At 42.7% G+C, this 24,138-nt stretch overlaps 1 protein-coding gene across 3 annotated transcripts in view, besides 2 other annotated features; it reads right to left on the minus strand.

Annotated features, from left to right (window-relative positions):
• SVIL (supervillin) overlaps positions 1–24,138 on the minus strand; it is a 279,599-nt gene that overhangs the window by 178,722 nt on the left and 76,739 nt on the right. For all 3 annotated transcript variants that reach the window (NM_001323599.2, NM_001323600.1, NM_003174.3), the window contains exon 3: positions 21,910–22,009. The gene's annotated coding sequence lies outside the window, so the exon portion shown is untranslated. The remainder of the gene's footprint in view (positions 1–21,909; positions 22,010–24,138) is intronic.
• Positions 2,963–3,464: an enhancer, noted in NCBI's record as "H3K27ac hESC enhancer chr10:29927951-29928452 (GRCh37/hg19 assembly coordinates)". NCBI's record gives its function as "activates a minimal SCP1, AML or CMV promoter by ChIP-STARR-seq in naive H9 embryonic stem cells {active_cell/tissue: H9 hESC(naive)}" and the evidence as "EXISTENCE:reporter gene assay evidence [ECO:0000049][PMID:30033119]".
• Positions 22,477–23,676: an enhancer, noted in NCBI's record as "P300/CBP strongly-dependent group 1 enhancer chr10:29947465-29948664 (GRCh37/hg19 assembly coordinates)". NCBI's record gives its function as "activates an origin of replication core promoter dependent on BRD2, BRD4, P300/CBP, MED14 and CDK7 cofactors, with strong dependence on P300/CBP, by STARR-seq in HCT116 cells {active_cell/tissue: HCT116}" and the evidence as "EXISTENCE:reporter gene assay evidence [ECO:0000049][PMID:35650434]".

Here is a 24,138-nt window from a genome sequence, read left to right on the forward strand (position 1 = left end):
TTCATGACTGTTTTGTGCTAGGGGTATTTGTCCCAGTCAACTGTTTTTTTTTTTTTTTACCCATCTCAAGATAACAAACAAACAAAATTTCATAGCATGGCTTTTGCATCCTAATCTCAGTCCTGACCCTGATCTTCTTTTCCCTTGGACCATATTGGCTTTTTCCTCATTTTAAAGTTTATTTGATCTTGTTTTACGTATTTTTATAAGCTGTGGTAAGCCCCTCCCTAGAGAAAAGTAGGGCAAAAATAAATAAAAACTTACATGAAACAGTTCACTATTTGGGTCTTCTCTGTAAAGAGAAGATAGGAGGAGAAAATGAATCACTGTTACCACAATAGTGCTATTTCCTTCCTAAAAAAAGATTCACTCCCACAAAATAAACATCAGTCTTTTGTGTGCCTCTTAAGTTTTTGCACACTGCTTCCCCATAGCAACCAAACTGTCCTAGATTAATACACTGGAGTCTAATAGGGTAAATCTCCTTCGTCACTTCTTTTATATATCCTTTCTGTCTTTGATTATTTAAATCCCAGTTAATTCTTCCTGTGCAATCCATTTACTTTCCTAATTTTTTTGCTATCTGCCTGGCTTAGAAGACTCATCATACTCACTTCTTTCCAATGATGATAATCATGAATTGGAAGAAAAATCAACACACAAAAGATGTCAATTGTCCCCAAACTGATCTACAGATTAACAAAATTCCTATCAAAATCTTGCAAGGTTTTTTTGTTTTGTTTTGTTTTGTTTTGTTTTTTTGAGACATGGTCTTGCTCTGTTGTCCAGGCTGGAGTAGAGGTGTGCAATCATGGCTCACTGCAGCCTCAACCTCCCCAGGAGGCAGTCCTCCTGCCTCAGCCTCCTGAATATCTGGGGCTACAGATGTGCACCACCACACTGGGCTAATTTTTTAATTTCTTAGTTTTTGTAGAGATGGAGTCTCATTAGGTTGGCCAGGCTTGTCTTGAACTCCTGGGCTCCAGCTGTCCTCCCACTTCGGCCTTCTTAAGTGCTAGGATTACAGGTGTGAGCCACCCTGCCTGGCCTCACAGTGATTTTTGGCAGATATTCTAAAATTTATAGTAAAGGTACAGGCCCTAGAATAGCTAAAAACCATCTTGAAAAAGAAGAAAAAAGTTAGTCTGGGCGTGGTGGCTCATGCCTGTAATCCCAGCACTTTGGTAGGCCGAGGCGGGTGGATCACCTGAGGTCAGGAGTTCGAGACCAGCCTAATGAACATGGTGAAACACTGTCTCTATCAAAAATACAGAAAAATTAGCCAGGCGTGGTGGTGCACACCTGTAATCCCAGTTACTAGGGAGGCTAAGGCAGGAGCATCGCTTGAACCCAATCCTGGGAGGCAGAGGTTGCAGTGAGCCAAGATCATGCCACTGCACTCCAGCCTGGGCCACAGAGTGAGACTCCGTCTCAAAAGAAGAAAAAAGTTAGAGCAATGAATCTATCCCATATTAAGGCCTACTGGATAACTACAGTAATCAAGACAACACAGCATTGGCAAAAAGAGAGACACATAACATAGATCAGTGGAACAGACTGGAGAACCCAGAGACAGGCCCACATGAATATGCCAAACTGATTTCTGTGCCATTCAACAAACAGTGCTAGAGCAATTAGACACCCCTAGGCAAAAGCAATGAGCTTCTACCCAATCCTCATTGTGGTACATCCATACCATGGAATACTACTCAACAATAAAAAGGAACAAATTATTAGTACGTTCCACGACCTGGATAAGAATCCAGGGAATTAAATTATGCTGAGTGACAGAAAGCCAATCCCAAAATGTTAGATACTATACGAGTACACTTACATAGCATTTCCCAGATGACAACATTATAGAAATGGAGAAGAGATGGGAGTTGTTAGAGGTTAGGGATGGGGATGAGGTGGTTTAACAGGGCCACATGAGAGACCCCTGTTCTGGAACTCTTCTATTGGATTGACCACATCAGTGTCAATATCCTGGTTGTGATACTATTGTATAGCTTTGCAAGATGTTATCACTGGAGAAACTGGGTAAAAAGCCCTCATGATCACTTTGTACTATTTCTTACAACTACATCTGAATCTATAATTATCTCAAAATTAAAAGTTTAAGCAGGGCGGGGTGGCTCACACCTGTAATCCCAGAACTTTGGGAGGCTGTGGCGGATGGATTACCTGAGGTCAGGAGATTGAGAACATCCTAGCCAACGTGGTGAAACCCTGTCTCTACTAAAAATACAAAAATTAGCCAGGCATGGTGGCTGGCATGTGCCTGTAATCCCAGCTTCTCGGGAGGCTGAGGCAGGAGAATTGCTTGAACCCGGGAGGCGGAGGTTGCAGTGAGCTGAGATCATGCCATTGCACTCCAGCCTGGGTGACAAGGGTGAAACTCTGTCTCAAAAAAAAAAAAAGTTTAATTAAGTATTTTTTCCAAGGAAAAAGCATCCCAACCCCAAAAAACAAACCTACTTCAAATGAAACTTTCAAATATAATCCATTTGTAAATGGGTGACTTACTGTAACTGTACTTCACATAAATCTATAGAGATTTACTTATTATCAATGCCATCTTACGAATTTCAAACTGGAAATATTTATTTTTCCCTATAAGAATGAAAGTTAATCCGAAAGTAAAATATTTGATACAGAATAAGAAATGGAAAGCATTGCTTTCCAATTGAATGTGTTTATTTAGCAGGCTGTGTAGATACTTAAAAAGAGCACCTCTAATACCTAGGGCCCATCCAAAAATAAAAAAGGAAACCTGCACATAATTTTCAGAAATTTCATCTACTGCCCCAGATTATTAATTTTTAAAACCTGACCAACTCTGGAGAAATAGCAAGAAAACAACTTTTTGGAAAGGGAGGAGATCGGGTCATCTCAATTTTTGATTATATTTCATTTTTAGAGACAGGTTCTCACTATTTGGCTCAGGCTGGTCTTGAACTCTTGGGCTTATGTGATCCTCCTGCCTCAGCCACCTGAGTAGCTGGGATAACGAAAGTGTGTCACTGCACTGGTCTTCCAATGTGAATACTGCTATAAATATAATAGAAAACAAGTTTTTGAAATCTGTTCTCTAGAACTCTTCCCCTTTCTTTTTTGTTTTTCTTTTTCTTGAGACAGAATCTCACTCTGTCACCAGGCTGGAGTGCAGTGGCGCGATCTTGGCTCACTGCAATTTCCTCCTCCCGAGTTCAAGTGATTCTCCTGCCTCAGCCTCCGGAGTAGCTGGGACTACAGGTGTGCGCTAGCACACTCAGCTAAGTTTTGTATTTTTAGTACGACGGGGTTTCACCATGTTGGCCAGGATGGTCTCGATCTCTCGATTTCGTGATCTGCTCACCTCAGCCTCCCAAAGTGATGAGATTACAGGCATGAGCCACTGCGCCTGGCCCTTTTTTTTTTTTTTTTTGAGATGGAGTTTCACTCTTGCTGCCTAGGCTGGAGTGTAATGCACGATCTCGGCTCACTGCAACCTTCACCTCCCAAGTTCAAGCGATTCTCCTACCTCAGCCTCCCAAGTAGCTGGGATCACAGGCAGATGCCACCACATCTGGCTAATTTTTGTATTTTTAGTAGACAGGGTTTCACCATGTTGGCCAAGCTGGTCTCGAACTTCTAACCTCGCGTGATCTGCCCGCCTTGGCCTCCCAAAGTGCTGAGATTACAGGCGTGAGCCACCACACCCAGCTGAACTCTTTATTCTTGAAAATAAATAGATGATATAACAGTTCAGCCTTCCCAGAAGTGGAATGGGCAGATGGAGGTTTCAGGGCCCTTTATCTTCTCAGTTTCCATAACATAAAACCTAGATCCAAACTCCCTGAATTCCCACTTTGGAGGCCAGTCTAACTTATGCTGGACTTTTCTGGCGCTTTGGGGAATGCCAGGTCATGCACAGAAGAGATGAGGCTTCTTTTCAGTTCGTTGACGAGGCAGCACAAGCCCAGAATATGCTCCAGCGACTCATCTTCTGCCCCCAAAGTCCCTTGGGCCCCACCTCTGTCTTCAAGCTCTTGCCTACCTTCTCTTCTTTTTATCACCCTGAATGTTCCAGAACCACTGTCTCCTCTCCCCCAGCCCCATGTGCTTCCCAGCAAGTTTTGTCATTGGATTCTGGCTCCCCTACAACCCAGAAACTGCTCTCCCAACAACACACTCTCCTGAGGCTTCATCTAGATGTGGCCTGTATGGTATCTGGCACTTTCTGACCACTTCCGCCTCCATGGAATGTCCTCTTCGTAAAATGTCTCCAACACTCCTTTCCTCAGCTCTCCCATGCCTTTCTGATCACTCCTCAGTTGTTTCACTGAGTGTCCACCTCTGCCTCCCTCAAATGTCCATATGTTTCCCAGGACTCCGAGCCTGCTGGTATCATCCTACCTTCTCCCAGAGTGAGCTCCGTCTGCCACACCTAAAGCAGAAGTCAGAAGACTGGTGATTGATTCCCTGAAGTTCAGCAAACCAGGAGCATCTCACGGGAACATGGAACTCAAGAGAAATCAAGCTACACCCGTCATCTCCCATCTCCCATCAGGAAACTTGTACCTGGTTTCCTACCTGACCGCAACCTCCCCATCGGCAACTTGGCCACCCAAACCAGAAATCAGGGCCCTGCCTCACTTGAGTGATCATTCAGATCTCAGCAGTCACTAAGCCTCGGTTCCTGCCTTTAACCTTCCTCTCTCCTTCCACCCCATTGATGTTCTCATGGGCCTGAGTCAGGCTTATGCCTGGAGCCTCCAAACTTCACTTCCACCTCTCTAAACCCATCCTCTCCGCCACTTCCAGAATGGCCTTTAAACGGCCCCACCCTGCCTGCTCACTCCCAATAAAAACCCTCCTGGAGAGTCCCCCAGCAGTTCTCAAGCATAGGCCTGGCAGGTGCTGCCTCCAACAGACAGGTGGATAGCGCTTGCTTCTTACCCATGGAAGCCCACATGGCAAACTTTTTGTCTTTTTTATATTTTATGTTTTTATTTTTTAATCTAGCAAATCGTCCCAGATCCTGGCCCATATGGCAAACTTATAAAATTAAATTTGTTAAAGGGGGCTGGGTGCAGTGGCTCATGCCTGTAATCCTAGCACTTTGGGAGGTCGAGGTGGAAGGACCGAAGCAAGGAGTTTGAGACCAGCCTGGGCAACATAGTGAGACCCCATCTCTTTAAAAAAATAGTAAAATGAATATAATAAAAAATAAAGTTTAAAACAATAGGCTGGGCGTGGTAGGTCTCGCCTGTAATCCCAGCACTTTGGAAGGCGGAGGTGGGAGGATCACCTGAGGTCAGGAGTTTGTGACCAGCCTGGCCAACATGGTGAAACCCATCTCTACTGAAAATACAAAAATTAGCGGCATGGTGGTGCGAGCCTGTAATCCCAGCTACTGCAGAGGCCGAGGCAAGAGAATCGCTTGAACCCAGGAAGCAGAGGTTTCAATGAGCCGAGATCGCGCCACTGCACTCCTGCCTGGGTGACAAGAACGAAACTCCATCTCAAAATAAATAAATAAAAAATAAAAAATAAAAATAAATTTGTTAAAGGACAAATGTAAGACTATACTTAGAATCATTGTCACTCTCTTGCATTTAGATACTCATCAGTAGGAGAAAAAAGGTATCCAGTTACAAATAAATAGTTTGGAAATGACACTTAACCCTTAGGTTATCTCATACAGACTAAGACCTGCAGTGACTTACTTGTGCAGGTGTATTCCTACAAGCTGTGAGGCTTACAAGGACTGTGATGCCTTAGCTTCATTACCAGCACCACATTTAGATAAACCCAGGAGGGATGCGATTACTTGTGTTGGTGGAAAACAGAAAACAAAAGAAAACAAAAAACTCAAGGATGTCCAGCCTGTTGGGTACATTCCAAAGTCCCACTTCTCTGAGCTGGAACCTCCTATCCTCCCTCCCACCAGCAGGTGACCTGTGCCCAACCATGAGACACCAGCCACCCTGGCCATCCTTCCTATTCCTGTCTAGTTTGTTCTCTCTGCTCAGAATGCCTTTCCACCCTTCTCACTTAGAAAACCCCTAATCTGGCCAGGTGCGGTGGCTCATGCCTATAATCCCAGGACTTTGGGAGGCTGAGGCAGATGGCTCACCTGAGGTCAGGAGTTCAAGACCAGCCTGGCCAACACAGTGAAACTCTGTCTCTACTAAAAATACAAAAATTAGTCAGGTATGGTGGCTCGAGCCTGTAATCCCAGCTACTCCCGAGGCTGAGAAGCGCTTGAACCTGGGAGGCAGAGGTTGCAGTGAGCTGAGATTGTGCCACTGCACTCCAGCCTAGACAACAGAGTGAGACTCTGCCTCAAAAACAGAAAGAAAGAGAGAGAGTGAGAAAGAAAGAAAGAAAGAAAGAAAGAAAGAAAGAAAGAAAGAAAGAAAGACCGACCCCTAATCATACTTCAAGCCTTAGTTGAGAATATTTCCCCTACAAATCTCTCCTAGACATGGTCTCTGATTCCCAATCTCTAGGCTGTTAGCAGAGACTCCATGACATTTTCATATTACCAGGACCTAGCAACATGTGCCACTCAGTAAATTTAATAAATGTTTGTGATGTGGACTGAAAATATCAAAATAGTCTGCAGTTAGATCTCTTCTCTCTCTCTTTTTTTTGGAGACAGAGTCTCACTCTGTCGCCCAGGCTGGAGTGCAATGACATGATCTCAGCTCACTGCAGCCTCCACCTGCTGGGTTCAAGCCATTCTCCTGCCTCAGCCTCCCAAGTAGCTGGGACCTCAGGCACATACCACCATGCCTGAATAATGTTTTCGTATTTTTAGTAGAGACTGGGTTTCACCATGTTGGCCAGGCTGGTCTTGAACTCCTGACCTCAAATGATCCGCCCACCTCAGCCTCTCAAAATGCTGGGATTACAGGCGTGAGCCACTGCACCCGGCCGCTCTCTTCTCATTTTAATGCAGCTACAACATTCTCCCTTTTGTCAGGGTGGATTAATCAATTTGCAATATCCCTCCAGAGCTGGAGAAACAGTCACAAGTTGGATCCTCAGCTCACAGGCAGAAAAGAAAACATGCATCACCAGCTCAAATGTTTCTGTGTAGTGGCCTCACTGTCCATTTCTCACTCCTATTTCTGGACTCAAGATGATGTCAGAGCATTGGCCAGGACTGTCAGTGCAGGAAAGTAAGACAACAACACTCTCTGTCTCCTTGCTTCTGCCTTCTGAAAAGTTCTGCTTTCCACAGGGCAATGAACTTGATCAATCACTGGAGGTATTTTTTAAGCAGCTCATTTCCAGGAGATGAAAAGGCTAGGCAACCAGGACCTGTATTTTGCCCTATTTTCTGCCACGATGGAACCAGACTTGGAATCATTTCCTTTTCCCAAAAAGCTTAGGATTTTGACCTCTATGGGAGAAGACAGAGACATGCTGTAGTCTACTGATATGTACACCGATACACCTGTATGAATCGAGCTTGTGGCCTTCTGTACCATGGGCAAGTCATTTTGTTTGTGCATAAATTTCTTTTTAAAGACAAAAAGGGGATATTATTTTCAGTTAATATTTTTCAACCAACAACCCCCCACCCCTGCCGGAAATCTGAATCAATCAATAATTCAATCAATTGAGTCTGTCTTTCTGTCTGTCTGGTCTCGCTTTTTCTCAAAGCTTTTGGAGAACTTTACTGGCTTTAGCTGAAAATCTTTGAGCTCCAAGGTCATCTGTAAGTCACTGGCTTGAACCACTGATGAGCCAGCCAACTTTTCTCTCCCGGGCTGTAGCTTCAGAGCAATGGGTGTGTAGCAGAGCTCAACACAAAGAGAACTGCTGGCCTCGTGGTCAAAATGAGATGTGAACTTGCCAGGGGTGAGCCTGGACCGTGGTTTATGAGTCCTGGCTCCAGAGACCCAGCCTCTCACACGGCTGGAGCAACATCGCGTTCCTGGACACCAGGCTCAGAGTCTTGAGAGTAATCAGAGATGTACAAAGTGTGACATGCTCCGTTTGGGCCACTAGATATCTAAAAATATGGGATTTCTGTCTGCTGTCAAGCAGCAGCTCACTGCACGAACAGAACCATGGAGGCTGCTGCTCAAATGGGGACATGAGCTGACGGTGATGTGACCAGTGGAGTGAGGACCTGGGAGGCTCTTCCCTTCCCTGCTGTTGTTGACATCACAAAGCTCAGCACCACATGTGGTTTGTTTGGCTGATTCCAAATACCAAGAGGGAATGGATCATTCTTATTCCTGAAAGAAAAACTCCAGGAGACTGTGCTCCTCAGGGAGCATCATCTATACCTTAGAGACACACAGGAGCGAGGAGCCTTCTCTGAGCATGTTCTCCCAGCCCCAAGGACCGAGAAACCCCACATCCCCTGGGCCAAGCACTCTGTAGCCCAGTGAAGGTTCCATTCTCATCTTCCTCCAGAAACAGAGCTCTACGTAATGGCTATGCACTCGGCCAACCCACAGAAGCCCGATAAGCTTGTAATAGAGTGGAACCACAGTCCCAATAATTCTATAAAACGGAACCACTTGAACCCAGGAGGCGGAGCTTGCAGTGAGCCGAGATCATGCCACTGCACTCCAGCCTGGGCGGCAGAGCAAGATTCCACCTGAAAGAAAGAAAGAAAGAAAGAGGGAAAGAAAGAAACCAGAAACACTATGTGTTGTATCTTACAATGTATCTTTGGCTCCAACTGTGGATCCTGGGCCATGTCTCCTTGACAGCACGAGTGGGAACTTCCTACCCTAAGGTTTAGCCAGTGACTTCTGTATTGAGGGCAGGGGCTACAAGACTGAGGAGGAGGGTCCCATCTGAAAACTGGGGCGTGGGAGGATGGGGTCTGACAGGAGTCAGCCTGTGGGGACAGAATGGTGGGAGGTGGGAGGCTGAGATCAGGAAGACTGATTTCTGGGGTAGGTGGAGGACACTAAAAAAAAAAACCTGAAAAATTCAAGAAAAGAAAATAACAGAATGATGCAGAAATCAACTGAATAAATTTAGCTTTATATTTAATACAACATTCACTTCATTTTCTTAGGTTTCTCATCGCACTGCCCTCAGGTAAGGGCTTGGTTTTAGTCTGGGGACTGAAAATCGCTGGTCTGGATTAAGATTCCTACAGTGCCATCAAATTCTAAAAACTTGAAATTCTACAATTCTGAGGCATAGCACCATCTCACCTTCTCCAAAGAAAAGCCTCAACAATGAGGGGGAAAAAAAGAAGGAAGGGGCCAGGTGTGGTGGGTCATGCCTGTAAGTCCAGCATTTTGGGAGGCCGAGGCGAGAGGATCACTTGAGGTCAGGAGTTCAAGACCAGCCTGGCCAACATGGTGAAACCATGTCTCTACTAAAAATACAAAAATTAGTCAGGTGTGGTGGCGGGCTCTTGTAGTCCAAACTACTCGGGAGGCTGAGGCAGGAGGGTTGCTTGAACCCGGGAGGTGGAGTTTGCAGTGAGCCGGGATTGTGCCACTGAACTCCAGCCTGGGCGATAGAGTGAAACTCCGTCTCAAAAAATAAATAAATAAGGAAGGAATAAAGCGCTCCAAGCGAGATAAAATATGTTAAAGCAAAGCATTCTGAAATAAAAAATTATTAGACAGTAGGAGAGCAAGCAAAGATAAAATCCTTTGATCATGCCTCAACTTCCCTCCCATAGAGACTCAGGCCAAAGCAGATCAGATAACCCTTTGAAGACCCTGAAGTTATTATCTGTTGGACTACTAAAGTGGATTATTCATTAGCAAGTACAAGTAATTCCCTCCCAAGGATTTATCGAAAGATGGCTGGTAATCTCGTTAGTGGGATAGTGGGTGCAAGTTGCATCAAAGGGAAGAGAGAAAATAAATAAGCAAATACGTTTTCAAACAACTATAGTTATTCAGGAGTTCTTCCAGGTACTCCTAACTCCTTGCTACAGCTCCCTTCAGCTTACGCTTGTACCCCTAGTGACATGGGCCCCCTAAAATGTGACTTGTGTGAGGACAGAGACTTTTGTCTGGTTTGTGAACTGCTGTTCATCTTCAGTGCCTAGGATATATTAAGTGCTCGATAAATATTTCTTGAACGAATAAGGCAAATAATGCGTATGCTCCAGGGAAAATGACAAGGCAATGAGTTCTTTTCCAAAGGCAACTTTATCCCTCACAGACACCCCCCTGCCCTGCAATCTGTGATCGTAATTTCTGCTGGCTTTGTGCAGGCTGTTCCACATGCCTGAATTGGTTTACCTCCTTCTCAAATACCTCTTTGGGAAAGATTTTCCTCATTAAGCAGTGTCTGATTTCAATATAGGACTCCCTTGCAAAATCTTCCGTGCATTCTGATCTCCTGGGCTTGGCATCACTTTCACAAATCCGCTGCCCAGGGACCATGTGTTCACAAAGACACGGCTTACTGGCCCGTATGGTAAGCTAATTGATGTGGTAAGCCCTGAAGGCAGGATTATTTTTCAGCCAGGCCCTGCCTAATGTTTTCTGATGATGGCCAAGTGGGCAAGTTCAGTCCTTTCTCCCCAGAAACATGATCCTGCTTTCTATACCAACAAGTATTAATTCAAATCCCTCGTGGGCAGTCCAGGATATGAAAATTACAGTAATCTAATCTTGTAGAGGAAGAAGTATGAATCATCATGACACTGCCTGACAAAGAGCAAAGTGATTAATGCCAGGCTGCAGTAGGGTCCCCAGTGACAGCTCCCCGTGGGTCACAAACCTAACATGGGAACCCACGAGGCAAACATCAGAGAAGCAACATCCTGGTCTCCATCCAGGGAGAGGAGAAGCAGGGAGTAGCAATGCCGTATTCTCAGGACCATGTCTGAAAACTGGCCATACTGAGGCAAATTCAGTGACTGAGGGAGAAGAGCAAGATTGCGTCTTAAAAACTCATCCGTTCCACCTTCTGACTGGTGGAAACTGCTTAAACTCTGAAGCTTACTTTTAGGTAGGAACTATAAGGTTTGCAGAATCACGGCATCACAGAGAATGACCTAGAAACCCCAATCCTCTGCAGGGGAAAACAAGAGGACATGCTTAGGACAAGCAAGATGATAGATAACCATGCCAAAAAGAATGCGCTCTTAACCATATCCCAGGAACATACAGTTCTGAAGAAGTCTTGGCCTTTTTCTGAAACCTTCAAGAAGTACACCAAAGCTCCCGATCTCCCATCTCCAGGAAACCACAGCCCAAGTGCACTGGGAAAGTTGGTCAGGGTGCCTGCAAGCCTAAACCATCACTTGGCTTTTTTTTCTTTTCTTGCTTTCTTTTTCTTTTTTTTCTTTTTTGCACAGCTGTATTCAATTTTCTGTCCTTGGGGTTTTAAAAGGAACATTTATTCTAGGGCCAGGATTCTCAAGTTTTATGGTTATACAACTCCCTCCCAGGGCCAAAGAATGTTTTAAAAGTCTTAAAGCTAGCAAAGAAAATTAGTAAACGTATCCGAATGAAAGTGAAATAAAAAATTAAGACTTGTTCCAGTTTATATTCAACCTCTTACTTGATTGTATTGTACCTTCTGTTTGCCCTTCACTGCTTTTACTACCCATTTTTAATGCAAATATAGGTGTGTGTGTGTTTGTGTGTGTGTGTGTGTAGAGACAGTGAGAGAGCAGGTGAAGAACAGAGAAGTACAAAGGTGTATTTCGAGTCTTCCACAGCTTCTATTTCCTGTTCTGTGGTAAATTTTATTTTAAATAAGGTCTACAGCTTAAACCGAGTTTAACAAAAGGTCACGAAGAAAGAGATTCCTTCAGTGTTTTTATAACATTGCTTGCTTTCCCAATTTAGAAAGCTAGATACTTTCTGATTTTTTGGTAGTAGGAAAGTAGTTTTAAAACCCCCTACATTTTTTACTTAAAAAGTCAAATTAGTGGCATTTTTAATTGAAATGATTAAACTTTTGTCAATATCAAAAAAAAAAAAAACAAAAAAAATCATTACCAGAAAAAAAAAAAAAAGAGAGAATGATAAGATGACGCTCCCACCAGCCCATGAAATGTTAACTAGTTTTCTCAATGCAGCCACATGGAGTTAAGAAAACCCACAAGTCCCTTACCTGTCTTCTGTTCTTCTCCCTTCATGTCACCTGGATCCCCACATCTCACAGGCATCTACCCAAAGCCTTTGTCTGCACAGGTTCACAAACGTTACTTGTACGTTTGCCCCTGAATTCTCCCGAAGGGTGGCTTCCTGCTCATGCACACTCATCAGATCTGACAAAGCCAAGCTCAGGCTTTTGGGGCCGAGGTTTGTGACACAGCACACACCACCACATTAGAGGCCTGGCTGCATCCCAAGACAAACCAGAAATTTTTGAGAAACAAAAGTTATTTGCACAGATCCACTCTGAGCAGAAAAGACGGAATCAGTACTCTTCCATAAAATGATGGGAAATGTTGTCAGTGGCACCTGCTTTGTACCGTCCAATTCTCTGAAAACAATTAGAAGACAGTGGAAACTGACCTTGCCCGACCCTCATCATGATGAGCAGCCAATGCAGGCTTCTCTGGAGAGGCAGTTAGTTCTAAGAAAAGCCAACCAAACCTCTCCTCTTGGCAATCACTTTCTCTTGCTCTTTTAAAATCAAGAAATCAAAGTGCCCTTTAGCACGGCCCTGTGGCCAAGAAAGCCCTGCAGCCAAGATAACAGGTTGAAGTTCAAACAATTCATCCCAGATAACCACTCTAATTCTCCCATGATTGGAAGTTGCTAGAAGTTAGTCAAAGTTATAAACCTAGGACACAGGACAGCTGGGAAAAAAAAAAAAAGATTCTAAAAGCAGGGTTTGTTTCTTGGGCTGGGCATAGAGGCTCATGCCTATATTCCAAGCACTTTAGGAGGCCAAGTGGGGAGGATTGCTTCAGCCCAGGAGTTTGAGACCAGCCTGGACAACACACTAAGGCACCCGTCTACACACAAAAAAAACAAAAAACAAAAAACACATTAAAAATTAGCCAGGCATTGTGACTCACACCCATGGTCCCAGCTACTTGGGTGGCTGAGGTAGGAGGATCCTTTAAGCCCAAGAGGTCAAGGCTGCAGTGAGCTGTGATTACACCACTGCACTCCAGGCTGGGTGACAGAGCGAGGCCCTGTCTAAATAAATAAATAAAAGCAGGGTTTCTTTTAAGCCAGAAATTTTTTCATGGGTGATATTCTACCTTCTAATCACATAGGACACACTACTAATATCATCTTCTCAGAATAATAAATTTAAAAATCCTGTGAATCTGCACTCTAGAACAAATGAAGATGCTTCTTTCAATGTTTTATGAAAGTAATACTGAACAATTCTTTCTTCTGAACCCCCACGGCATGCCTCTTTCATATACAATAAAACACAACCAAGCAATTACAACCACAAAGTTTTGTTTTTTAAACCACACACATAAGAAAATTGCTACAAGAAGACTTTACCTAAGGTTAGAGAAATAAGGGCATTCTCTAATTTCATGCCAAGCCAGCTAGAAAACACTACATTTTAAAAATATTGTGTTATGGTAGGCCATCTGTATTCCATATAAGAAAAAAATTTTAGCTTCAAAAAAATTGAAGCTCAAATATAACTTCAAACAATTGACTTACCAAAATATGCAAGTGCATGGGCGTACACACACACACACACATCTGGTAAAAGAAAAACAAACACAGCTTGGATTCATCCAAGATGAGCAGTCCCTAGTCATGTGCTCAAAATATGATTGCTATGGTTTGAATGCGTCCCCCAGAGTTCATGTGCTGGGAACTTAATCCCAAATGCTACACTGTTGAGAGGTAGGACCCTTGAGAGGTGATTAAGTCATGAGTGCTCTGTCCTTGTGAATGGATTAATATCATTATCACAGAAGTGGGTTCTTTATCACGAGAGTGGATTTGCTATAAAAGTGCGTACATTTCTCTGTTGCTTGCTCTCACCATGTGATGCCTTCTGCCAGGGGATGACACAGCATGAAGGCCCTCACCAGATGCAGCCCCTGGATCATGGACTTCTCAGCCATCAGAACCATGAGCCAAATAAACTTTTATTGTTTCTAAACTACCCAGTCTGTGGTATTCTGTTATGGCAGCACGAAGTGGACTTAGACAATGATGTTTGCTCAAAACATTTCAAATGGACTTTCTAGCCTAAGTAACAGTCCATTTCCAACTAATATTTTCTCAAGAGAAGAGAAAGAGTGGGTTGTTACTTGAAGGAACATCTGTCTTAAAAAGTTGTTTTCACATAATCTAAATTAGTAAAGAAGCGTGGGGAAAGAATGTACTGATGCAAATGGTAAGAGCCGTGGGCAATGCACTTTTGAGGTTTCTGAAAAGCATCTGTGTGTGTGCATTTTGAGAAAGTTACCACTTTGCCTTTCAGTTCACTCCAGGAACTGCTACAGTCTCAGGGTCCAAACCCCAACCAACTGATGTATTAATAAATGCAAGGCTGATGTATTAATAAATGCATATATAATATGTATTTATTACCACATTTATTACCATAAATATGGTTGTATTTAATACAACCAAGTGATGTATTAATAAATGCATATATAATAAATTATATATGAACAGTTAGGACTGTGTTTCATAAAGACTTTCACTACAAAAAAAAGCCTGGAATGAAGTTTGTGCACAGGCTCATACCAGTAATGTCAACACATTGGGAGGCCCAAGCTGGGAGGATCATTGAGGTCAGGAGTTGGAGAACAACTGGGCAACATAGCAAGACTTTGTCTCTACAAAAATAAAAATCATAAGTTGGCCATGGTGGCACACGCCTGTAATCCCAGCCACATGGGAGGCTGAGGCATGATGATCACTTGAGGCCAGTAGTTTGTGCTACTTCACTCTAGTCTGGGCAGCAACAGGAGACCCTGTCTCCAAAACAAGAGCATGGAATGTCTTTTCTCTTTATTCTGATTTCAAACAGAGATTTCTTTTTATCAATTTGACCTAGACTTTGAAAAAGCACATTAGTAAACCCCTTCTTTACATTTTCTCCCAATCAAAATAACTAAACAAAATCAAAACCATCAGAGAACAAGGCAAAGAATGGCACTCTTCTCCGAACCCCAGCCTCACACCACCCTCGCGCCCCAACCCTGCCTACAAGTTAGCAACTCCCTACACAGATGCAACATTCATACCCAGAAGGGCTGGCTCCCAGGAAGACACGACCTCCAAACCCAACCAGCACCTTTTTGGGCATTTCAGCAGAGCAGGTAAAGATCCAAGAGCAATTTTTCATCAGAATCTGGTGACAGCAACACTTCTGAAAACAGGTGCCAAATTGTCTCCACTGTAGCACTTCACATTCCCTCTTCAAACCATTCGGATCTGGAGTTTCCAATCTGAACTTCTCTTATCATGGTCATGGGCAACATCCATCTTGGCAATTCCAATAGATCCTTCTGTCCTCCTATGACTACCTCTCGGTAGGACTTACTTTGTGCCTGAGTTCAGTGACCTTGTGCTCACTCTCTTACTTCTCCTTCCTCCCTGGCTGGCCATTCCTTCTCAGTTTGCTTTGTAACTCCCCTCTCCTATTCTACCTCATCCTGTGCCACATGCATTCTCTCTCTCTCTCTCTCTCTCTCTCTCTCTGTTTTCATCCTTTCCTGCAGATTCACCTATCATCTAAATGTTATCTCCAGTCTAGATTACTCCTCGGAGTTCTAGACACACGTTCAACTGTCTGCCTAAGATTTGTTTGGATATTTAATAGACACCTCAAACTTAATATGTCCACAATAGAACTCTTGATTCTCAAAGCTGGCCCTCTCCATAAAACAAAAACAAAACAAAGCAAAAAGAAACCCTCCTAATCTCAGTCTTTCATCTCCTTCTGAGAAATTGCTCAAGACCAAAATTTAGAGGTCATTCTTAATTCCTCACTTGTCCTCACTCCCTAAGTCTCATCTATCATGAAGTGCTGACAGTTAACCGTCCAATATATGTAAGACACACACACAAACACACACACACACACACACCAGGCTTACTGATATAAAATTCACATACCATACAATTCACTAATGTAAAATGTATCATTCAATGGTTTTTAATATATTCACGGAATTGTACGACCATTAGAAACTCAATTCTAGTCACTTTCATCATTCCCGGAAGAAACCACAGACCCATAGCAGTCACTCGTAATTTGCCACCATACACCCCCTGTCGTAGGCAACCATTAATCTACTTTGTGTCTATGGATTTGCCTGTTCTAGAAATTTCACATAAAAGGAATTATACAGTTTGTGTTCTTTGGTGTCTGGCTTCTTTCACTTAGCATGTTTTCAGGGTTCATCCATGTTTTAGCATATGTCAGCACTACAATCCTTTTTAAAGCTGAATAGTGTTTTACTGTATGGATATACCACATTTTATTTGTCTCTTCTTCAGTTGACAAACATTTGGGTTGTTTCCATTCTTTAGGTATTATGAATAATGCTGCTAGAAATATTATTATTTTTGTACAGCTGGGACTACAGGTATAGGTATATGTATAGGTATGTATCCTATTTCTCTTGGGGATATGCCTAGGAGTGGATATATTGGGTTATAAAAGGTAAATCTGTGTTTAATTGTTTGAAGAACTGCTGGACTGTTTTCCAAAACAGTTGCTTTGGAAACACGGGCATTCCAATTTCTTCACATCCTCACAAACAACTGTCATTATCCGTCTTTGTGGGTATGAAGTGTTTTTTATTGTGGTTATAATTTGCATTTCCCTAATGGCTAATGATAGTAAAAACCTTCTCATGTGCTTAATAGTTATTAGCATATCTTCTTTGGAGGACTATCCATTCCAATCCTTTGCCCTTTTTTAATCAAATTATCTTTTTATTATTGAGTCTTAACAGTTCTTTATGTATTCTAGATACTGTCCTTTATGACATATATAATTTGCAACTATTTTCTCCCATTCTGTGAATCGCCTTTTTCCTTTTCCTTTTTTTTTTTTTTCTGAGTCGTTCTCGCTATGTTGACCAAGCTGGTCTCAAACTCCTGGACTCAAACAATCCTCTGCTTTGGCCTCCCAAAGTGCCAGGATTACAGGCATGAGTCCCTGTGCCCAGCCTGATATGGTTTGGATTTGTGTTCTTGCCCCAATCTCATGTTGAATTATAACCCCCAATGTTGGAGGACAGGCCTGGTGGGAAGTGATTGGATCGTGGGGGCAAACTTCCCCCTTGCTGTTCTTGTGATGGTGAGTTCTCATGAGATCTGGTTGTTTAAAAGTGTGTAGCACCTCCCCCTTCTCTCTCTTCCTCCTGCTTCAGCCATGCAGGCTGTGTCTGCTTCCCATTCACCTTCTGCCATGATTGTAAGTTTCCTGAGGCCTCTGCAACCATGCTTCCTATATGACCTGAAGATCCATCAGCCAATTAAGCCTATTTTCTTTATGAATTACCCAGTCTCAGGTAGTTCTTTATAGCAATGCGAGAATGGACTAATGCATAGCCCTTTTCACTTTCTTGATATTGTCCTTTGCTGCACAAAGTTTTCTAATTTTGATACATTTATCTATTTTTATTTTGTCACTTGTCCTTTTGGTATCATATCTTAAAAAAATCCAATCCAAGGCCATTAAATTTGTATCTATGCTTTTTCTGAGAGTTTTAAGGCTTACCTTTAAGCCTCTTATTAATTTTGAGTTAATTTTTGTTTATGATATGAGGTAGGAGTCCAGCTTTTCTTTGGCAGATGGATATACAGTTTCCCCAGTACAATTTGTTGAAGAGATTATTTTTCCCCATTGAATTGTTTTGGCATTGTTTTGTATTGTTTCCACTGATTTACTGAAAATTAATTGACCACAAATAATGTATGAGTTTATTTCTAGACTCAATTCTATTCTATAGAATAGAATAGAATACCAGTACCACACTATCTTAATTACTGTAGTTTTGTAATACGTTTTGAAGCTGAGTCTCCTATTTTGTGCTTCTGTTTCAGGATTGTCATGGCTATTCTGGGTCCCTTGAATTTCCATATTAGTTTTAGTATCTACTTGTCAATTAAAAAAATTCATTTGAGATTTTTGACAGAGATTGCATTAAATCTGTAGATCAATTTGAAGAGTACTGTCATTTTTAAAATATTGTTTTCTGATCCATGCACATGGAATGTTTTTCCAGTTATTTAGGTCTTCTTTAGTTTCTTTCAATGATGTTTTATAGTTTTAAGGTATATGTTTTACACTTCTTTTGTTAAACTTATTCCTAAGTTTTTTATCTTTTTCATGCTATTAGAAAACAAATTATTGTTTCTATTTTATTTCATATTATTCATTACAAGTATATATAACAAAATTGATTTTGTATATTAATCTTATGTCCTGCAATCTTGCTGAACTTATTAGTTTTAATAGTATGGTGAGTTCCTAAAAATTTTCTATAAACAAGATCACGCCATCTGCAAGTAAAGATAGTTTTACCTTTTCTTTTCCAATCTGGAAGCCTCTTATTTCATTTTCTTGTATAACTGCTCTGGCTAGAACCTCCAGCACAATACTGTATTAGTCAGGGTTCTCCAGAGAGACAGAATGAATAGGATAGATATATAGAAGTAGGCAGGAAATGTATTAGAGGAATTGGCTCACAGGATAATGGGGGCTGAGAAGTCCCACAACCGGTTGTCCTCAAGTTGGACAACCAGGAAGACTGGCAGCCTGTCTCCATCTAAGTCCAAAGGCCTCAGAATCAGGGTAGCCAATGGCATCACTCTATCAATCTAAGGCCCAAGATCTGAGAATCCTGGGGCCACTGGTGCACATGCCAGAGTCCAAAGGACAGAGGACCTGGAGCTCTGATGTCCAAGGGCAGTAGAAGAAGTGTTGCAGCTCCAGCAAAGACCTTTCCCCTGTCTTTTTTTCTATCCAGGCCCGGAGTCAATTGGACAGTGATCACCCACATGGAGGGTGGATCTTCCTCACTTAGTCTACCACTCATACACCAATCTCGTCCAGAAACACCCTCACAGACACACGCAGAAATAATGTGTTATTAGCTATCTAGGTGTTTTTTAATCCAGCCAGGTTGACAAATGTATTAGGGTTCTCCAGAGGGGCAGAACCAACAGGATACATATACATGTGAAAGGGAATTTATTAGGGAGAACTGCCTCACACAATTACAAGGTAAGTCCCATGATAGGCTGTCTGCAAGCTGGGGAAGAGAGAAGCTGGTAGTGGTCAGTCCAAGTCCTAAAGCCTCAAAACTGGGGAAGTCAATAGTGCAGCCTTCAGTCTGTGGCCAAAGGCCCTAGACCCCCCGGCAAGCCACTGGTGCAAGTCCCAGAGTCTAAAGGCCGAAGAACCTGGAATTTGATGTCCAAGGGCAGGAGGAGTAGAAGGAAGCATCCAGCACAGGAAGAGGAAACAGAGCCAGAAGACCCAGCAAGCTGCTTATCCCACCTTCTTCTACTGCTTCGCTCTTGCCATGCTGGGCAGCTGACTGGATGGTGCCCACCCACAGCAAGGGTGGGTCTTCCTCTCCCACTCCACCAACTCAAATGTCAATCTCCTCTGGCAAGCCCCTCAGAGACACACCCAGAAAAAATACTTTACCAGGCATCTAAGCCTCCCTTAGTCCAATCAAGTTGACACCTAATATTAACCATCACAGCACCTAAAATTTACTGTTCACAAATACTGAACAGAAGTGGTGAGAATGGATATCCTTGTCTTGTCTCTGAGCTTAGGAGAAAAGCTTTCAGCCCTTCACCATTCAGTGTCATGTTAGCTGTGGGTTCTTCATAGATGTCTTTTTCAGGTTGAAGAAGTTCCCTTCTATTCCTAGTCTGTTGAGTGTGTATGTGTGGGTTTTTTTTTTTTTTTTCTGTTTCTTTTGGAGTTTTGCTCTGTCACTGGAGTGCAGTGGCATGATCTTGGCTCACTGCAACCTTAGACTTCTGTTCAGGTGCTTCTCCTGCCTCAGCCTCCCGAGTAGCTGGGACTACAGGTATGTGGCACCACGCCCAGCTAATTTTTGTATTTTTAGTAGAGATGGGGTTTCACCATGTTGGCCAGGATGATCTCGATCTCCTGACCTCATGATCTGCCTGCCTCGGCCTCCCAAAGTGCTGGTATTACAGGTGTGAGCCACCGTGCCTGGCCGAGTGTGAGTGTTTTTTTTTTTTTTAAAAACATGAAGAGGCATTCGATTTTGTCAAATGCTTTCTCTGCACAAGACATCCTCTTTGCCTTTGCTTTTCAATCTGGAAGCTTTTTCTATGCCACCCGCATAACTTGCTATTTCTCATTCTTACAAGTCTCTACTTCAGGGCATTCCTGGATCATCCTATTTTAAAGTCCCCACCCATCACTCTATCTTCTCCATTCATGCAACCACAGAACCTTCAAAGTACTCAGCCATTATGAAACCAACCCAACAGTCCCATATAGCTTTTTTTTTTAAAAAAAAGAATAAATAAACATAGAAATTGAACTTTCTGGTCTTAACATTTGAAACTTATATTTGTTTTATCTGAGATCCTTCCTCAGGAAATGACCTTCAGGCCTCTCAAAAAAAGTATCAAAGAAATGAAACTCACCAGATCACATCCAGACAATAAAATGTGGACGCTGATTCAACATGATTGCTTCCAAGCCCCTTCTGAGTTCCTGTTTTCCCACACATGATTACATTTCTTCCCTGCTATATAGCCAGTTTTGGTCAGTCAGAGAGATGGATTTGAGACTGAGCTCCCATCTCCTCGGCTGCAGCACCCAATTAAAGCCTTCTTCCTTGGCAACACTTGTTGTCTCAGGCATTGGCTTTCTGTGCAGTGAGCAGCAGGACCCAGATTGAACCCCTGGTGTTTTGGTAACAATTACTATTAATATATGTACATATTCTGATGACACTTGTATTAATATAAAGTTTGGTATTTGCCAGCACATATTCATAATTTTAGTCCTTGCAATAATAGTATCTACAAAGTGAATACTATTATAAGCATCTTACACATAAGGAAATTGAAAGAGAGGTTACATGTCTTTTCCAAGATCATGCAGTTTATTAAGTGTCAAACCCAGGATTAAAACCCAAGCCACTGAGCTGCAGATACCAGGCTCTTAAACATTTGCTATTGTGTCTCTCAATGATTACCTTTCCTTAATTGTTAATGTATTTATTATCTAAACATGAGCACTGTCAACCTCAGTTTTTGCTGCATCCCTAGCATCTAACACCATCCATGGCTGGTGCGCAATCAATATTTAATGAACAAATGGAACACTGGTCTTAAGATGCCTCACAAGAAAATAGTTCCATGGAACTCTGGTGAGCACTGCCCACTACTCACACCCATCAAGATTCACAAAGCTCATTAGTTTTGAAGAAGGTCATTTAACTTTAATCCAATGCTTTCCAAACGCACTTAGGCATAGACCCATCCTCTGACCCAGGTCCCCACTGTATTAGTGGTGTAGGGAGCTGTGTTCCAGGGAACACACTTTGAGAACTCCTGCTCCAGAGAGGCAGGTCAAATAGCACAGTTTCCAGAAGGGTGCTCCTGTTCTCACTCCTTTGGCTGGCTCTGCTCCTATGTAAAGGTCCTATCTAATTCACACTCCCCGAAAGCTCCCTAATAGCCACGGCTCAGCTCAGAAAGAAAACCACAGCTGTAAGCTTTCCTGTTCTTTCCTGAAGTTCATAAAGGGCACACTGGGACACATGACCATCGAGGAAAAATGAAGACATTTCCAACCATCACAGTGGCTCAGCTCTCCTGTATGTCTATGGTTCCACACCGCATCACAGAGGCCGCTTTAATCTTCTTCGAGCTCTGGTTTGTTGAACATGATTCAAACAAAATCACCCTTCACAATGTGCTTTAATCTCTTCTAACAGTGCAAGCAAAGCCAATAATGTGTTAACCACAAAAGTGTCATATTTCTTTCCTCAATACTTACCTTAACGCCGATATTTAAATCATGGCTTCGATGTGAAATGACTTCAAAATCATCATATCTCAGCTTTTCAAGTCCTCAAGGCCATCCACTTGAACTCTCTCTGAAAAAGGACAAAGTCTCTACTGAAAAATCTGAGAAAGAAAATAGCAAACAATACAAGACAACCACACGTACGAATGAAACTGGATACTCTGCTGTGATTAATCTGCTGCCTCCAAAGAGCTTTTTCCCTTTCAAATACTCATCAACATCAGCAACTACAGATTACAGGCAGTGGTTAAAGTATCTTTTTAAACCTCTTATAAAAAGTGCTCAATAAAAGAATGCATTTTTCCCATTCATCGTAAACTCAGTGAATAAAGTCATTTCTATGCAATGGTTCTCCAAAGCTCTTATTTTTCTGGGAGGACTAAAATTGTATTATTTGGTCTATAAGCAAGAATCATTTTTGGTAAATATGAGTACTTTCTAAATTCAAATTTAAAATCAGATCCAAATATAGGGATGGCCAGGCATGGTGGCTCCCACCTGTAATCCTGGCACTTTGGAAGGTTGAAGTGGGAGGACTGCTTGAGGCCAGGAGTTCAAGACCAGTCTGCAACAAAGTGAAACCCTGTCTATACAAAAAATTGAACAAATTAGCTGAGCGTGGAGGTGTGCTCCTGTGCTCCCAGCTACATGGGAGGCCAAGGCAGGAGGATCACTTGAGTCCAGGAGGTTAAGGCTGCAGTGAGCCATGTTTGGATCACTGTACTTCAGCCTGGGCAACAAGGAAGACCCTGTCTTTAAAAAAATTAAAAACAAAAGAACAAATATGGAGGCTTGGGAACAGCAGCCTTGCCACAAAGGGACAACTGAGAAAATAAGAAATGGGTTGAAATTCATCACGAAGTTGGATGGAACTAACAAAGACCCAATTCCACAGAAAAAGACATGCTGGGTGGAGAGTTAGGAGACTGGAATAACTCACCGAAGGCATCAGGGTGAGTGATTTGGCTATGACTTGGTCTATGTCAAGCATTCCAGGCAGAGACAATCTCTGCATTTATTTTCCTCAAAGAGTGAGGGGAAACCCCACCTATGCTAGAATGTACCAGAGTAGAATTAAGGCAAACATGCATTTCCCCTTGTGGTTTGCCTGACGAGGTGCAATTTGTATGAAAGATGACTCACAAGGTTACAGAGTCATTCTTTAGACTCGAGGGTTGACACTCTGTGTGGTTCTTAATGACTCAGCCTGGGAGAGGTCCCCAACACAGAAGGCTCCAGCCCTGCAATCCCAGACTACAGAGGAAAGCCCCTCGTTTATCAGCTGGTTAGTGGTTAACAAGCGTGGCTTTGGGAAGTCTTTTGTCTTAGGCTATTGAGTTCCATCTTCTCATCTCCTCTCTGTTGTCTACTCAGCACTTCCTTGTATTCTTACCGCCGGAAAAAGTCAGAAAAGAATTCACTCAAGCACAGAGGGCTCTGAACTGGGCAACAGCTGGCACCACACCAGGCATTGCAAGAAACCACAGCTGAATTCCTTGGCGCTCATTTTTATAAATATTCCACAGGAAGGATGTCAGAAGCCTGGTTTATCCAGCATAGAGAGAATGGGGTTCATCTCCAGAAGCCCAGCCCCAGAGGCAACTTCTAGGAAAAAATCATCTTGTGATGGGTGCGGGGTCAAAGGGGAGTCAGCCCATGTGAAGTTCCCACAAGGTTAAAAAATAAATTATTGTCACCACTGCCTGGTGGAATTCAGACAGTCATGAACTCATTCTTGTAAGCCACAGAGATGGTTGCGGTAAACACAGACAAATTATTGGGTTTAAGCAGACCGTTTTTTGTTCCAACAATAAAAAAAATCATTTTCCCTTTCCTCCACAAATCTCTTTATTACTAAAAAGCTTTGATGCCTTGAGAACTGGGCTAGATCAATGTAAGCCTCTCTTTTTCCCCTGGGACTCCTCCTTAGGGCTCCAAACTGGTTTAAAAAATCCTTTGCCTGCTTAGGAAAAGGAGACCCTCTTATTGAACCAGCCACAAAAGAAAGAAAAAGAAAACTACTCAAAAAGAAAACAGGGGCTGGGCACAGTGGCTCATGTCTGTAATCCCAGCACTTTGGGAGGCTGAGGCAGGAGGATGGCTTGAGGCCAGGAGTTCAAGACTAAGCTGGGCAATACAGTGAGACCTTGTCTCTACAAAAAAATTAAAAATTAGCTGGGCCTGCCTATGGTCCCAGCT

Source organism: Homo sapiens, chromosome 10 (genome assembly GCF_000001405.40).
Source record: "Homo sapiens chromosome 10, GRCh38.p14 Primary Assembly".
Taxonomy (NCBI): Eukaryota; Metazoa; Chordata; class Mammalia; order Primates; family Hominidae; genus Homo; species Homo sapiens.